This window comes from Homo sapiens, chromosome 11 (genome assembly GCF_000001405.40).
Source record: "Homo sapiens chromosome 11, GRCh38.p14 Primary Assembly".
NCBI lineage: Eukaryota > Metazoa > Chordata > Mammalia > Primates > Hominidae > Homo > Homo sapiens.
This window is the reverse complement of record NC_000011.10, coordinates 33,814,141-33,829,696: the sequence shown is the minus strand read 5'-3', so window position 1 is coordinate 33,829,696 and position 15,556 is coordinate 33,814,141. Positions and strand designations below refer to the sequence as shown.

The window sequence follows — 15,556 nt, the reverse complement described above, 5'->3', positions numbered from 1 at the left end:
TATTCTCTTAACTCCTTCTAAGGAGTCTGCCTCAAGACTGAAAAGTTCGAATAGGACCTTAGCAAATGCCAAGATGACATGTAAACTCAAAGCAACATGGGTTATAAGCATGGCCATGAAGATGCCGAGATCATAGGGTCCAGAGCTCCCCAGTTAACCCAGTTGCGCCGCTGAAAGGGGCAGAACTCAATTCCTCTTGGTGGAACTCGGGAACAAGAAGGGAAATGAATGCGGAGAAAACCAGGATCCAGGTAATCTGATTTCCAAAGGGCCGTTCTATCGCTGCGGCTTGGGGTTCCGCCCAGGTGTCCGCGGGTCCAGGTGTGGGGGCCGCCCCCTCCCCCCGCCTTGGGAGGCGCTGGGACCTGGCTCCGGGACCGCCTGCCGCGCTGACAGGGACGGGCAGCTTTCGAAGCCTGGCTCTTTGGAGGCTCGGTGTGGGGAGTCCCTGGCTGCGGCCCTGGGCTGCAGGGTCACCGCGAGCCGAGCTGGGGCGCCGAGGGGGAGGCACCGACGCCCCGCTTTCGGGACATCGCCGGCCACTTCGTCCCGCGCGAAGGCGAGGAAAGGAGGAGGGACAGGAGGGCGCAGTGGAGGCAGTGACGAGGGGCCTGGCTTGATGCCTTTGTGGGGACCCGGGGAGAGGGGTGGTGATATTAGGTGATGCCCGGGGTACGGGGACCCAAGCCCGGGCCCAAAATTCTCCTCCGCCCCGCTGCGGGGCTCCAGGCTGGCTTTTGAGGCGCCTCCCGGGGACCTCGCGGGATCCCAGGGCCGGGTTTCGTCCAGCGGCTGCTCAGGAATGGGGTCCTCCAACTCGGAGAGGAGAACAAGATCCAGCCAGCCCCGCAGAACAGCAAGGGAGGCCCCTTCCCAAATGCAACGCAGAGAGGGCTTGTTCTCTGCACGGAGACTGATCATGGATTTGACGCTATCTTAAAATGAACATATTACCTACACTAATCAGAAGACCATGTTTTACTTGGCTACATTTACCCAGTAAGAGCCGTACAGTTTAGTTGAAAGATAGTAGCATATGTAGCTAATAGTCCAGGATTCGGGTTTTAGCACCTTTTCTTATAACATATGTGCAGTTTAAGTCTGCGAGCCTTGTTTTGACAATGATGATGAGGAGGATTAATAATAGTTATTAATAATAGTATATAGCAGCTCCTTTTATTGAGCACTTTCTGTGGACCAAGCTCTGTGTTAAGCATTTTACAAACACTAATTTTTTCACTGAACTCTTAAAATTTCCCTGTAAGATTTATTCAGGGACTTTTAGCTTTAAAAAAAAAAAAAGTCATCTTTTCATCATGCAATATATATCATACACCATTATATATGCATATATACATATATTTGGTTGGTATTTCATGATGATTGTGGAAACCCCACAACTTAGAGCTCAGCTTCCCATTGTCTCACTTGGGGAGGCAGCAAGTTGCAACAGAAAGAACTTTAGAGTCAGACAGACCCAGTCAGTCAGCCCCTCTGAGATTGTTTCAACACCTATAAAGCATGTTGAATGTGGCTCCAATGTGAATTGGGGAACTTTCAAAAAATTTTCTTCTTAACAGACTGGGGCCTGGCATCAAGGCTGCTTTGGTTAATATTCCTTCCCCTCCATCCTTTATGCTGGACATGGGTACAGTCTCCATCATCCTGAACCCCCTGTCTAAAGACCTTAGGAGGGATTGTTTTTCTTAAAATGGTCTGGAAGCCTGCAATGCAGGGTGTCAATTTCTTCTGGGGAAGCCTCTTGTCTTCAAGATAAAATGATATCTAGTCACTGAGGAACAGTTTAAAGATATTTTTAAATAAAGCGAAGAAGTTCTAATTATATTAGCAGTATGAAGATAAGTTAGAGCAATAAAGACCTTATTTGGAAGTACCAGCGTAGAAAACAAAGTCTCCGAGGAAGTGACTAGACATAAAGATGCAATCACAAGGCTTGAAGAATCAACCAAATGCAAGGAGAAAATCTGCAGATTAAAAACACAGGAAAAGAGAAAGAAGAAGACACTAGGAAAAAGAGATTGGAAATAGCTCAACATTGGACAAGGTCTTTTGTAAAACACTAAGAGGAGAAAGAGTCCTGAATGAAGCTAACCAGAGCTGGAGAAGCTTAAAGCTGGATTTTCTTTTGTTCAGAAAATATAAGCTTGACTTCAAAAAGACAGATGGTGGGTGTCTCTCAGAGACAATCTCTAACAGAGCTTGAATCTGATGAAGAATACCTGATGTGGAAAGTGAGCAATGAGGTTTTTGGTGGGCGTGAGTCAGAAGAGCAAATACAAAAGCAGGAACCTTGTCGGGTTCTCTTTCCCCACGCGAGGGCCCAAGCTTTGATTCAAATTAATCTTGGCATTTCAACAACACTTAGAGGTATTTTATGAGCCAGAGCAAAAAGTGAGGGATCTGAGAAAAAAGATGATTTGGGGAAGAAAAGAGCAGATGCTCATGACAAATGTTGGTGAGGATGTGAAGAAATTGGAACCCTTATACGTTACTGATCAGATTGTAAAATGGTGCAACCATTTGGAAAACAGATTCTTGGTGTCTTGGAAAGTTAAATATTGAGTTGCTATATGATCCAGCAATTTTACTCCTAGGTACATACCCAAGATAATTAAAAACATATGTCCACACAAAAACTTGCATAAATACATGCAAGTTTTTAATAATATTTATAGCAGCTCTGTTCCTAATAATCAAAAGGTAGAAACAACCTAAATGTCCATCAGTGAATGAGTGGATAAACAAAACTTGGTATATCTATACAATGAAATATTATTTGGCAATAAAAATGAATGAAGTACTGAATATGCTACAACAGGAATAAACCTTGAAAACATTATGCTAAGTAAAAGAAGTCAGACACAAAAGGCCACCTATTGTATGATTCCATTTATACGAAGAATCCAGAATAGGCAAATCTAGGGAGACAAAAAGTAGTAAAATATACTGCTAGGCCATGGCAGGGGCTGAAGCAAAACTTGTTTTCTTTGTAACTCAGATACTCTTTGGGAGAGGCTTTGGGTAAGATAAGGTCTGAAGACAAGAGCAGCCTCTGGGGACCGAGCTGTTCCCTGGGACATGGCAGTTAAAATTACTCCTCTCAAGATTTGATCCAATTCATCTTAGCCTTCAAAGGGAGGAATGGGTGTGTTGAACATTCGTAACATTTTTAGTTCGTGTTCTTTTTCATCAAAGCTTACTTCCAGAAGGAGAGAGAAGTCAGCACACAGGCAGGTCATCTCAGTTTTTGATAGTTTCTAGAACTCTGCCCACTCAGGGATGGACATGTCATCTGTGTACTCATTGTTCATGCTACTCCAGCACCCACACACATCATTTCCATGAGAGCTGGGACTTTGTCCATTTTGTTCACAGCTCTATACAGAACAGTGACTGGCATGTAGGAGGTACTCAACATTTATTTTTAAACTGAGAGGTTGATTATATAGGCCCATTTTGTTGTTCCCAAAAGACACACTTTATTTTGCATGCAGATTTATTTTTGTAATTGTATCTTCAAATATACAGTAAAGGTCTTAAATTGTGAAAGAGTCATGGGTACTACTGTGACTATCAAGATGTGAAGGGTTGAGGCCTGGGCTGGAATTTGGATCCTGTGGAATGAGAACATCCAGCTGTGGGAATCCATCTGAGGCCAGCAGCCCAGAGCCACAATTTCAAAATAAAGAAGGAACACAAGAAATACCCTCATATCTTTGTATAACCATTTGCTGCTACCAGTCAGATTAGAATTAGTGCTCAAAGGTAAAGATAAGCGAATCTAAACAAAATTGACAGTCCTTTAGCCAGCCTACAAAAAAAAAAAAAGAGAGACGATCCAAATAAATAAAATCAGAAATGAAAAAGGAGACATTACAACTGATACTGCAGAAATTCAAAGGATCATTAGTGGCTACTATGAGCAACTATATGCCTACAAATTGGAAAATCTAAAAGAAATGGACAAATTCCTAGACACATACAACCTACCAATATTGAACCAGAAAGAAATAAAAAACCTGAACTGACTAACAACAAGTAATGCGATCAAAGCTGTAATGAACTCTCCCAGTAAAGAAAAGCCCGGGACTCAGTGGCTTCACTGCTGAATTCTACCAAACATTTAAAGAAGAACTGATACCAGCCAGGTGTGGTGGTTCATGCCTGTAATCCCAGCACTTTGGAAGGCAGAGGAAGGTGGATCACTTAAAGTCAGGAGTTCAAGACCAGCCTGGCCAACATGGTGAAATTTCATCTCTACCAAAAAAAAATATAAAAATTAGCCAGGTGTGGTGGCAAAATACTGCAGTCCCACTACTGGGGAGCTGGAGGTGGGAGAACTGCTTGAACCCAGAAGGTGGAGGCGGAGGTTGCAGTGAGCCAAGATCACGGCACTGCACACCAGCCTAATTGACAGAGTGAGACCCTGTCTCAAAAAAAAAAAAAAAAAAAAAGAGAGAAGAAAAAAGAAAGAAAAAAGAACTAATACTAATCCTACTCAAACTTTTCCAAAAAATAGAGGAGAAAGGAATACTTCTAAACTTGTTCTATGAGGCCAGTATTAACCTGATACTAAAACCAGAAAAAGACATATCCAAAAGAGAAAATTATGGGCCAATATCTGATGAATATCGATGTAAAAAATCCTCAAGAAAATACTAGCAAACCAACTTAAAAAATACATTAGAAAGATAATTCATCATGGCCAAATGGGGTTTATCCTTGGGATGCAAGGATCGTTCAACATATGCAAATCAATCAATGTGATACATCGTATCAAGAGAATAAAGGATAAAAACCATATGATCACTCCACTGATGCTGAAAAAGCTTTTGATAACATTTAGCATCCCTTCGTGATAAAAACCCTCAAAAAACTGGGTATAGAAGGAACATACCTCAACATAATAAATGCCATATATGACAAACCCACTGCTAATATCATACTGAATGGGGAAAAACTGAAAGTCTTTAAGATCAAGAACATGATAAGGGTGCCTACTTTCACCACTGCTATTTGACATAGTACTGGAAGTCCTAGCTAGAGCAATCGGACGAGAGAAATAAATAAAGGACATCCAAATTGGAATGTAAGATGTCAAATTATCCTTCTTTGCAGATGATATGATCTTACATTTGGAAAAACCTAAAGACTCCACAAAAAACTATTAGAACTGATAAACAAATTCAGTAAAGTTGCAGGACTATAAAATCAACATACAAAAATCAGTAGCATGCCTATATGTCAACAGTGAACAATCTGAAAAAGAAATTTAAAAAGTAATCCCATTACAATAGCCACACATAAAACTAAATACCTAGGAATTAACCAAACAAGTGAAAGATCTCTGTAATGAAAACCATGAAGCATTGATGAAAGAAATTGAAGAATACCCCAAAAATGGAAAGATATTCCATGTTCATGTATTGGAAGAATCAATATCATTAAAATGTCCATGCTATCAAAAGCAATCTATAGATTCAATGCAATCCCTATTAAAATACCCAATAATGTCTATTTCAAGACATTCTTCACTGAAATAGAAAAAAAAAAAAAAACATCCTAAAGTTTATATGGAACCACAAAATACCCAGAATGCCAAAGCTGTTCTGAGATAAAGAACAAAACTGGAGGAATCACATTACCTGACTTCATATTATACTGCAGAGCTATAGTAACCAAAACAACATGGCACTGGCATAAAAACAGACACATAGACCAGTCGAATAGAATAGAGAGCCCAGAAACAAATCCACACACCTACATTGAACTCATTTTTGACAAAGGCCCCAAGAACATACACTGGGGAAAAGACACTCTTTTCAGTGAATGATGCTGGGAAAGCTGGATATCCATAGGCAGAAGGCTGAAACTAGACCCATTTCTCCTTCCATATACAAAAATCAAATCAAAATGGATTAAAGACTTAAATCTAAGACCTGAAACTATGAAACTACTATAAGAAAACATTGGGGAAAATCTCCAGGACATTGGTCTGGGCAAAAATTTCTGGAGCAATACTCCACAAGCACAGACAACCAAAGCAAAAATGGACAAATGGGATCACGTCAAGTTAAAAACCTTCTGCACAGCAAATGAAACAATCAACAAAGTGAAGAGATAACCCACAGAATGGGAGAAAATATTTGCAAACTACCCATCTGACAAGGGATTAATAACCAGAATATATAAGAAGCTCAAACAACTCTGGAGAAAAAAAAATCTAATAATCTGATCAAAAATGGGCAAAAGATGTGAATAGACATTTCTCGAAAAAAGACATACAAATGGCAAACAGGCATATGAAAACGTGCTCAACATCATTAATCATCAGAGAAATGCAAATCAAGACTACAATGAGATGTTATCTCACCCCAGTTAAAATGGCTTTTATACAAAAGACAGACAATAACAAATGCTGGTGAGGATGTGGAGAAAAGGGAACCCCCGTATACTGTTGGTGGGAATGTACATTAGTACAATCACTATGGAGAACAGTTTGAAGCTTCCTCAAAAAACTAAAAATAGAGCTACCATATGATTCATCAATCCCACTGCTAGGTATATACCCCAAAGAAAGGAAATCAGTATATTAAAGAGATATCTGCACTGTCATGTTTGTTGTTGCACTGTTCACAGTAGCCAAGATTTGGAAGCAACCTAAGTGTCCATCAACAGATGAACGGATAAAGAAAATGTGGTACATATACACAATTGAGTACTATTCAGCCATAAAAAAGAATGAGATCCAGTCATTTGCAACAACATGGATGGAACTGGAGATCATTATGTTAAATGAAATAAACAAGGCACAGAAAAACAAACATCACATGTTCTCACTTATTTGTGAGATCTAAAAATAAAAAAAAAATTGAATTCATGGAGATAGAAAGTAGAAGGATAATTACCAGAGGCTAGGAAGGATACTGAGGGTGTGAAGGGTAGGTAGGGATGGTTAATGGGTACATAAAATAGTTTAAAAGAATGAATAAGACCTAGTATTTGATAGCACAACAGGGTGACTAGAGTCAATAATAATTTAATTGTACATTTAAAAATAACTGAAAGAGCATAAATAGACTGTTTGGAACACAAAGGATAAGTGCTTGTGGGGATGGATACCCCATTCTCCATGATGTGATCGTAACTCACTGCATGCCTGTATCAAAACATCTCCTGACCTTGTAAATACATATATGGGGGGACACCTATAATGTACCCACAAAAATTAAAAAATAAAAATAAGGGGAAGGTAGGGTGGCCATCATGATGGTCAAGCAGTGACAGGCTGGGGCCAGGGTGACAGTTGGCAGTTGGAATGGGGGAACTGTGAGGAATCTGAGAAGGTTGGAAGTCAGCCCTGACCAGAGGGGATGGGATGTGAGAGACGGATGTCAGGTGGCATGAGGCAAGGGAAGAATTTCAGAGGCAGGAAGAAAGTACACATAATAGCTCCCTGAGCAGAAACAGAAATGGGAAGGGAATATGATCTGAGAGAGAGTTTCATCTGCCTTTACAATGCCGGAGGCAGAGATTGGCACACAAGGACAGGGTCTTGTCTTCTGGTAGCTTGTCTAATACAGGACACAGGCAAGCTCACAAGAAACTGCCTCGTAGGGCTGAGTGAAATTTGCTGATAGAGCTGCAGAATCACATTCCTCAAAGACAGGAAGGAGCTTAACGTAAGTTTGGGTTCTCTGGACCTGAGATGAAGGCAGGGCGTCAGGAGGAGGTGGCCAGCCAGTCTGGGGGGTTTAGGGCAAACTGAGAAGGGCGAAGTGAGTCGGGCACTGAGATTTATGAAATAAACGCACCAAGTTGTGTGAATAAATGATCAGGGAAAGAGAGAGTTGCTTGAGGAGGAAAGAGAAGCCAAAGACCCTGGATCACTCAGAGAACTGGAGACAGCATGGGGGCTTGAGCCAAACTGCCGGGATTTGTTCTGTCCCTTGTTGCTTGTGTGTTCCTGGGTCATTATCACCTTCCCTGTGCCTTAATACCTCCATCTGTTAAGTGGGTACTATTATAGTATCTATAGCAAAAGCTACATAAATTGATAAAGTAAAATGGCGGGATGTTGCTTGGTTCATAGGAAGGGTTCCATCAATGTTAGCCGGCCTCAGTGCGTTAAGAGGGACAAAAGAGAGGCTGTAAGCCACACTGAGCTAGTGCAGCGTCACTGAAGTTCTAGTACGGAGAGGGCTTTAAGAAGTAGAACGGGGTCAGGATGACCATGGGGAACACATAGTGTGCACATGAATGCATTATTTCATTAATTCTATGCAACTCTGTGCGAGGAACTACTATCTGCCCAAGTTTACGGATGAGGAAACCGAGGCTCATAAACAGAAAGTGACCAGCACCAGGTGGCTTAGCCAGACACATGCACAGCTGGAATTTGAATCTACGACTGTACAGTCCTACAACCCATGCACCCACACTGCCCTTTAGGAGCCACCCAGCAGCATGAGGGGAAGGAACAGGCTGGCCCTGGCAGTGTGGGGCTGTAGCCAGCTGTGCAGATCAAGTGGGCAAAGAAGAAACGATGTGGCAGATGTAGGTCACTCATCTTGAGACCTCTGGTCAAGAATGAGGGGCCGGGCATGGTGGCTCAAGCCTGTAATCCCAGCACTTTGGGAAGCTGAGGTGGGTGGATTACCTGAGGTCGGGAGTTCAAGACCAGCCTGACCAACATGGAGAAAAATCCATCTCTACTAAAAATACAAAATTAGCCAGGCGTGGTGGTGCATGACTGTAATCCCAGCTACTGGGGAGGCTGAGGCAGGAGAATCACTTGAACCTGAGAGGCAGAGGTTGCCGTCAGCCGAGATCACGCCATTGCACTCCAGCCTGGGCAACAAGAGCCAGACTCCATCTCAAAAAAAAAAAAAAAAAAGTAAGGAATAAGGCAACAACTTGGGGGCATGAAAGGGTCACCTAGGAGTTTTTTCAGAGGGGCATGCAGGACATGTTTTCAAGCAGGGTGGAAATGGAGAAGGAGAAGAGGCTGGGGGTATAACTGATGGAAAAAGGGCCTTGGGGGAGTGAGAAGTGCTGAAATTGGGCCACATCAGAAGGAAATTTGTTTTGGACAAAAGGAAGAGAATGGCTACAATGGGAGGGAGTCCATTACTGTATCAAAGTAAGTAAAGGGTGGCCACATGCCCCTGCTCACTCTGTGGGAAGAAAAGCTGAACTCCACCTTGGCACAGGTGTCTGGTGAGCTGGAAGGGCACATTCGACTGGAAACCAGAACATTTGTGCAAGGGCTGCGGGGTGTCTTAGAGAAAGCAAGTTGGGTCCCTGCTGGGGATCAGACCAGCCTGAGCTCCAGCCATCCACACACCCACGCAGGCACTCCACAAATTGTTGGGACTAACCAGAGAGTCAAAATTACACAAAACAAGAGATGCCGTCTTCGCCGATGTGGCTCACAGGCTGTGGGAGAGACTGGCAGGTGAACTGGCAGTTAAGGCGGGAATGATGCTGTAACTGGTGATGTGAATGAGGCCGTGGAAGTCCTGAGGAGGAGTCCCAGTGCAAAAGTGAGATCTAAGTTCAGGGCTGCAGGAAGGGGCAGAGGGAGGAGCGGAGGTGAGAGTGTTAGGCAGGGCAAGCGGCTTCTGCAAGCGACTGGAGGAGCAGGGCACAATACCTTCCAGGAGCTGAATGGTGTTCTCAGCCCCTGGAGCACAGACTGCGGGTGTGGAGAGGTGGCAGCTTGCACTTTATCCTTATGTGGCTGAAGGGCCATCGATGTCTTTTGAGCAGGGAGAGGCCTGATGGGATTTGGAGAGCTGCCTGTTTCCTCTGCACTGCAGGATGGGATTGAGCGTGCCCCTGGCTGAGGAAGGAGGGCACAAGGACGCTGCGGCCGACAGGCCAGGTGAGAGGGGACCTCGGCAGCAATCACAGAGTGGGATGGCAGGCTCACGAAATAATCCAGAGAAGGGCTTGGGGGTCTTGGCAATGGTGAGGACGATGGTGTACACCAGCGAGAGGGTCATGCTGGGGAAAGTATGATGGGGTGCTTTTATGTGAGGAAAGGGGAGAAACCTGGTTTTGAAACCAGGTTTTGATGTGCGTGCAAGATGTCTGTGCAGTCACATCCAGCAGGCAACCAGCCTGTAGGATGGTGGTTTGGAAGAGATGTGGGAAGGAGTCAATGACTTGGGAGGTGTCAGCATAAATTGAAGTCCCAACTCCGGGTGCTGCGTGGGTGAGTCTGTCTCATCGCCCCAGGAACAGGAAGACTGCTCTGCTGGGTGAAATGAAAAGGTCGAGGTTTGGTTTTGATTTTTAAGGTGGACAAGACTTGAGCTTATTACGTGAGCTTGAGACACTGATGGAATTGTCTGGAGCTTATTGAGACACTGTGGGAAGGCACCCACAGAGAGGGGTGCAACCCTGAAAGAGGGAGGGGATAGTTAGTGGACACACGTCTCTGAGAAGTCCGGATTCATGTGCAGTGATCCACCTTGGGCAGGGGAAGGGGGAAAGGCGCTGGGGTGGAGGTCTGAGGTAATAAATAGCTGCTGTACAGGTGGGAAGAGCCGGGGGGGACCTAGGTGAGAGCACCAGGAGGTGCAGGGGGTGGGCTTGGAGCCTGTCACTCCACAGGGGCAGAAGAGGGTCATTTTTGATGGTTTTTGTCCATAGGACTCTGCACCTTAGGTGCAGGAGAGGAGGTGACAGGAAGCTGAGGCTTGGCTGGCCACATGCAAAGGCATGACTCCTGCCCTGCAATTCAAAGGCACGTACAGACAGAGAAGTAGGCCTGGAGGACGGTGGGGTAGCCCTGCAGGTGTCTCTGCACAGAGCCTGAGGGGTTTGGGCAGACCTTTCTGAACCTGTTGATGGAAGTCTGAGGAGGTGCCTGGGAGGAACTCCATCCCCACTTCATCCTGAGGGGCCATAAGGCCAGGCTCTGATCGCTGGCCTTTTGACTAGAAGAGCAGAAAAGTACCTGGGGGGTCCATTGCAGCAGCAGCCAAGCTGAGCAAGAGCAGATGTGTTTGTGAGAACATCTGAGATGCCCATGAGGGCCTCCCAGGGAGGGGGTAGCTCCAGGTGGCTTTGCAGGAGGAGAGGAGCCAGGGAAAGCGGAGTGACCACAGGAGCTCAGACCCCAGCTCAGTGCTGCCTGGGGATGCTCCAGTCAACATTCGTGCACACGAACCGCCTGTAATGCCACACTCACACCCCCAAGCCATACCCACCATTTCCAGGGCACCTTACAGACTGGAAGCACTTGCCCCCAGACTTCATCCTTTATGCTCATAACGACCCCATGGAAGCGGGTGCTTTGATGCCTCGCAGATGAGGAAAGAGAGTTGGAGAACTTAGGGAATTTTTCTAACATCACACAACTCACAGGTCGGGAATCCAACCTGAATTTATCTTCACATCTTTTCATATTGCATGCTGTTTAAGTTCCATGGCCCTTTGTTATAATCAATCTTTGCCATACACTCACAGCTCCCTTCTTTGGGCTTACTCAGTAAACGGCAAGCCCAGCCAAGATCAACTCTTTGCCTACTACTCCCACCTTCAGAAGCATGGCTGACCATGGCTGGAAAAAAAACAAAAAAAAACAAAAAAACCCTCCACTTTGATGGCCAAATTCATGGCCTTTAACCTCAAGTCAGTCCAGTGAGGCTCTGGTGCTGTCTGGCCCATTCACTCTCCCACTACTGCGGATAACTATTTCATACCTTCTCCTCTGCTTCACATTCCTGGAAGGATCCAGGACCCCAGCGTGCAGCAAAGTTATGGTAGGAAAGCTCCATCTCTGATCATCAGAGAAGGTGCCTGAGGTCTGGATATCGGTACCAACCACCTCTGCCCAGTTCCCAGGGATCAGCTAAATATGCAAATTCCCTAGGGTTTGACAATGAATGACTCCCCTGATACTAATTCACATATTTAACATGCTCTTTGGGAGTGATGGCATTTTGAAGAAGGGTTCATTAGCGCCTTGTTATTCTGAGTGGGCAGTGTTAGGGGACCCACAATGACTGTGCTCTATGCTGCTCTTCCCTGTCCTGTCTCCCTGTCTGCATCAGAAAGAAGATATGCAACTAACATAAGGCTAGGAATGTGTCACCTGGCTGCTTCTCACCTGGGAGGGGTGAGGGGACTTTGGGTGAAACTTGGGGAGATTCACTGCAGCTCCCACTTCTCCTGGGATGCACCAGGCCAGCAGAGCTGCCATCTGTTTTACTCTGGTTCCATGCACCACCTCTACACAATGAGCACCAAGCAGAGATGTCATTTGAGTGAAAGTGATGTCAGTTGACAAACGGTAACTCTTTTAAACTTCACTGCTCCTTCCATCCTGTCGAGGGCCACAGAGCAGAGAGGTCAACGGGGCCCCAGTCTCTCCCTACCTCATGACCGTGGTCCTGTGGTTTGCAGGCTTCTTTGTGAACCAGTAATTCTTTAGGGAGCTTAAAAATATTAGAAAATTTTTATTTAAAAGCATTAGATTTTTGTAACGTTCTAGCTCCATAACTATCTAAATGGCTCCTAGAAACAAGCAGACATTTCTTTCTTAGGCTCTAAGTTGAGGTGACCTTCCTTAGTGGTGAATACTGTTTGTCAAAACCACAAATCTCAGAGTTGACTCTGGCAGGTTGAGTGTCCATGCAGACACCAGGGAATGCAGATGGTACATATCTGAGTCCAGGTAAGACCCAAGTAAGAGTCCCTTAAGGGTGAGACACAACAGGAATCAAAGTTGAAGAAGTGACAGATGTCTATAAAGTCCCCTTGGTGGAAGAGCTGGTCCCAATGGCTGAGGCTGGAGCTGGCATCCTTCTGACAGGGAGACCAGGCTGGGTATTCTGCTCAAGTCAGCCTGTTGGATGCCCTGGCTACACATACACTTGATAGCTCTGGGGAAACCCAAGTCCACAGGCTGAGCCACAGGAAGATTCTAGTCCAGGAACTGCTGGACTGGGGTGGGGGACAGGGGCAGGTAGAAGCAGAGATTCAGGGCATAGGAGAACTAAGTCCTGAGTGCTTTTAAGAGCTAGGAAGCAGTGCTCGCATCAAAGCTGACTTCTCTGCAGAGCCACTGTTGAAGACCCAGAGGAGCAGAGCAAGAACCGCATCTGAGCACCAAGACTTCTCTCTGGTCTCAGGCCCCAGGCAGTGTGGCCTTCTGTCCCGTCCCCATGCCTGCCAGGCCAATTCCCTCCTCTTAGTTCTGGTCATGAGGGGCCCTTGCACTTCCAGGCCCCCCATCACCCTCATCATTCCACTTATGGAAATCTCTCTCATGAACTTCCCAAGCCCCCACCTGCTTGCTAGACCCCTCAATATCAGGCTGCTTTCTGGGAGCCCATTGCTTTCTCAAAGCCCCACACCTCTGAGAGTTGCAGACCTGGGAAGTGAAGCAGAAGCTTCTCAGGGTACCATGAGCACTGTGCAGGGACAGAGACTGGAGCCCCACCCTGCGGGCTTCTGGCTTGGCCCGGCCCTGCAAAGTCTCAGGTCATGTGGCCTGGAGTTTCTGTAACAATCTAAGGTTGTTACAATCTAAGGTTGTAACAATCTAAGGTACCAAGTCTAAGGTTCTAAGCAGACACTGCTGCCTCTTCATGCTGCTCAAATAAAACAGTGATGGGGAAAAGGAATGTGAGATCAAGAGTTCCAAGGTGAATGGGGTGTGTCAGAGAGCGGGAAGGAGTGGGTGGCAGACCTAGGGACGATTTTTCCTCTCCACTCTCTAAAATGACTTTCACACCTTTTTATCTCTTCTCATACCTCCAACAGCCCTGACTCTCCTTACTCTCAGCCACTACATTGCTTCCTGTTTAGCTGAGAAAACATGTAAACTACCCCAGATTTTATTAGTAGCCATTCTTCCTCTTAAGCACTGGACCCCACCCTACTTCCTATTCAAGGACATCCCTCCTGCAATTGACCTCTATCCACCTGCATCATTAGTTTTTCCCTCTCTGTGGGATCATTTCTGAGCAAATCATCCTGGGATGGTGAACTTTTAAAAGTCAACTCGACAGAGGTATAATTTGTGTATAAAATGCACCCATTTAAGATGTGAAGTTAGATGAGTTTGACAAATGTATACACCTGTGGAGTCACCACCATAGCCATCACATTATATAAATTCCCATCACCCTCCAAAGGTTTCCCATCACTGAGTAGTATTCCCTTGTATGGATACAGCACAGTTTGTTTATTCATTTGCCTATTGGTGTACAATTGTGTGGTTTCTACTTTTTGGCTATTATGAATAAAAAGTGCAGTGAACATTCATCGATGAGTCTTTGTGTGGACATATGTTACCATTTCTCTCGAGTAAATACAAGTGGAATAACTGAGCTATGTGATATGTATAATTTTATGAGAAACTTCCAAACTTCTTCAAAGTGGTGGTACCACTTTACATTTCAATGGCAGTCTATGAGAATTCCAGATACCACACTTGGTATTGTCAGGTTTTTCCCCCTAACGTTAGCCCTTCTATTTTGTGTTTGTGTGTGGAGGTATTTTCATTTTGGTTTTAATTTGCATTTCTCTGGTGACTGATGTTGAACCTCTTGTGTTTATTGGCTATCCATATATCTTGTTTTATGAAGTATATGCATATCTTTTGCTTATTGTATTGTTATAGTTTTCTACATATCACCACACATTTGTCAGCCTAAACCAAAAACTAAAGTCCACTTACTGTCTCTCAGTTTCCATAGGCAAGCCGTGGCTCAGCTGGCTCTTCCGCTCCAAGTCTCACAAGGCTGCAATCAAGGTGTCAGCCTGGGCTACAGTGTGATCTGAGACTCAGGTCTTCTTCCAAGCACAGGTGGTTGTCTGCAGAATTCATTTCTCTGCCGCTATAGAACTCATGGTGGCTCGTTTCCAGGCCAACAGGAGAGCTTCTCTTCTGCTTCAAGAGCTTAAAATTCTTCTTATCATGCCCATTTTTGTATTGGGTGGTTTGTCTTCTTACTGAGTTGGATGAGTACTTTATAAATTCTAGGTACAAGCCCTATGCAGATGTACATATTGCAAATATTTTCTCCCAGGCCATAACTTGCCATTTCATTTTCTTAATGGAGTGTTGGGAGAAGAGAAATGTTTGATTTAAATGAAGTCTAACTTCTCAACTTTTTTTTTGTATGGTTCATGCTTCTTATTCTTATACAAGAAACATTTGCCTATCCAAAGGCTACAATATTTTCTCCTATATTTTCTTCTAGAAGTTTGATAACCTTAGCCTTATATTTAGTTCTATGACCCATTTTAAGTCAACTTTTCTGTATGACGTGAGATAAGAGTTGAGATTCAATTTTCCCCCCAAATTGATATCCCATTTTTACCACACTATCGGTTGAAAACACCATTTCCCCTGTTGGCACCTTAACTGAAAAAAATAAATTGACCATACATAAGTGGATCTAATTCTAGATGCTTTATTGTTGTATTAGTTTACATTTCTCTACTTATATCTACAATAATTATGTGATTGCTCCATGTTTATATTAAGTCTTTCAATAAATTATATCCTTCA

At 44.4% G+C, this 15,556-nt stretch overlaps 1 long non-coding RNA gene across 1 annotated transcript; it reads left to right on the top strand.

Annotated features, from left to right (window-relative positions):
• On the top strand, positions 7,323-15,556 carry LINC02721 (long intergenic non-protein coding RNA 2721). Its single transcript, NR_183773.1, has 3 exons — positions 7,323-7,703; positions 9,793-9,907; positions 14,730-15,556. It is a non-coding gene; the product is annotated as a long intergenic non-protein coding RNA 2721 (long non-coding RNA).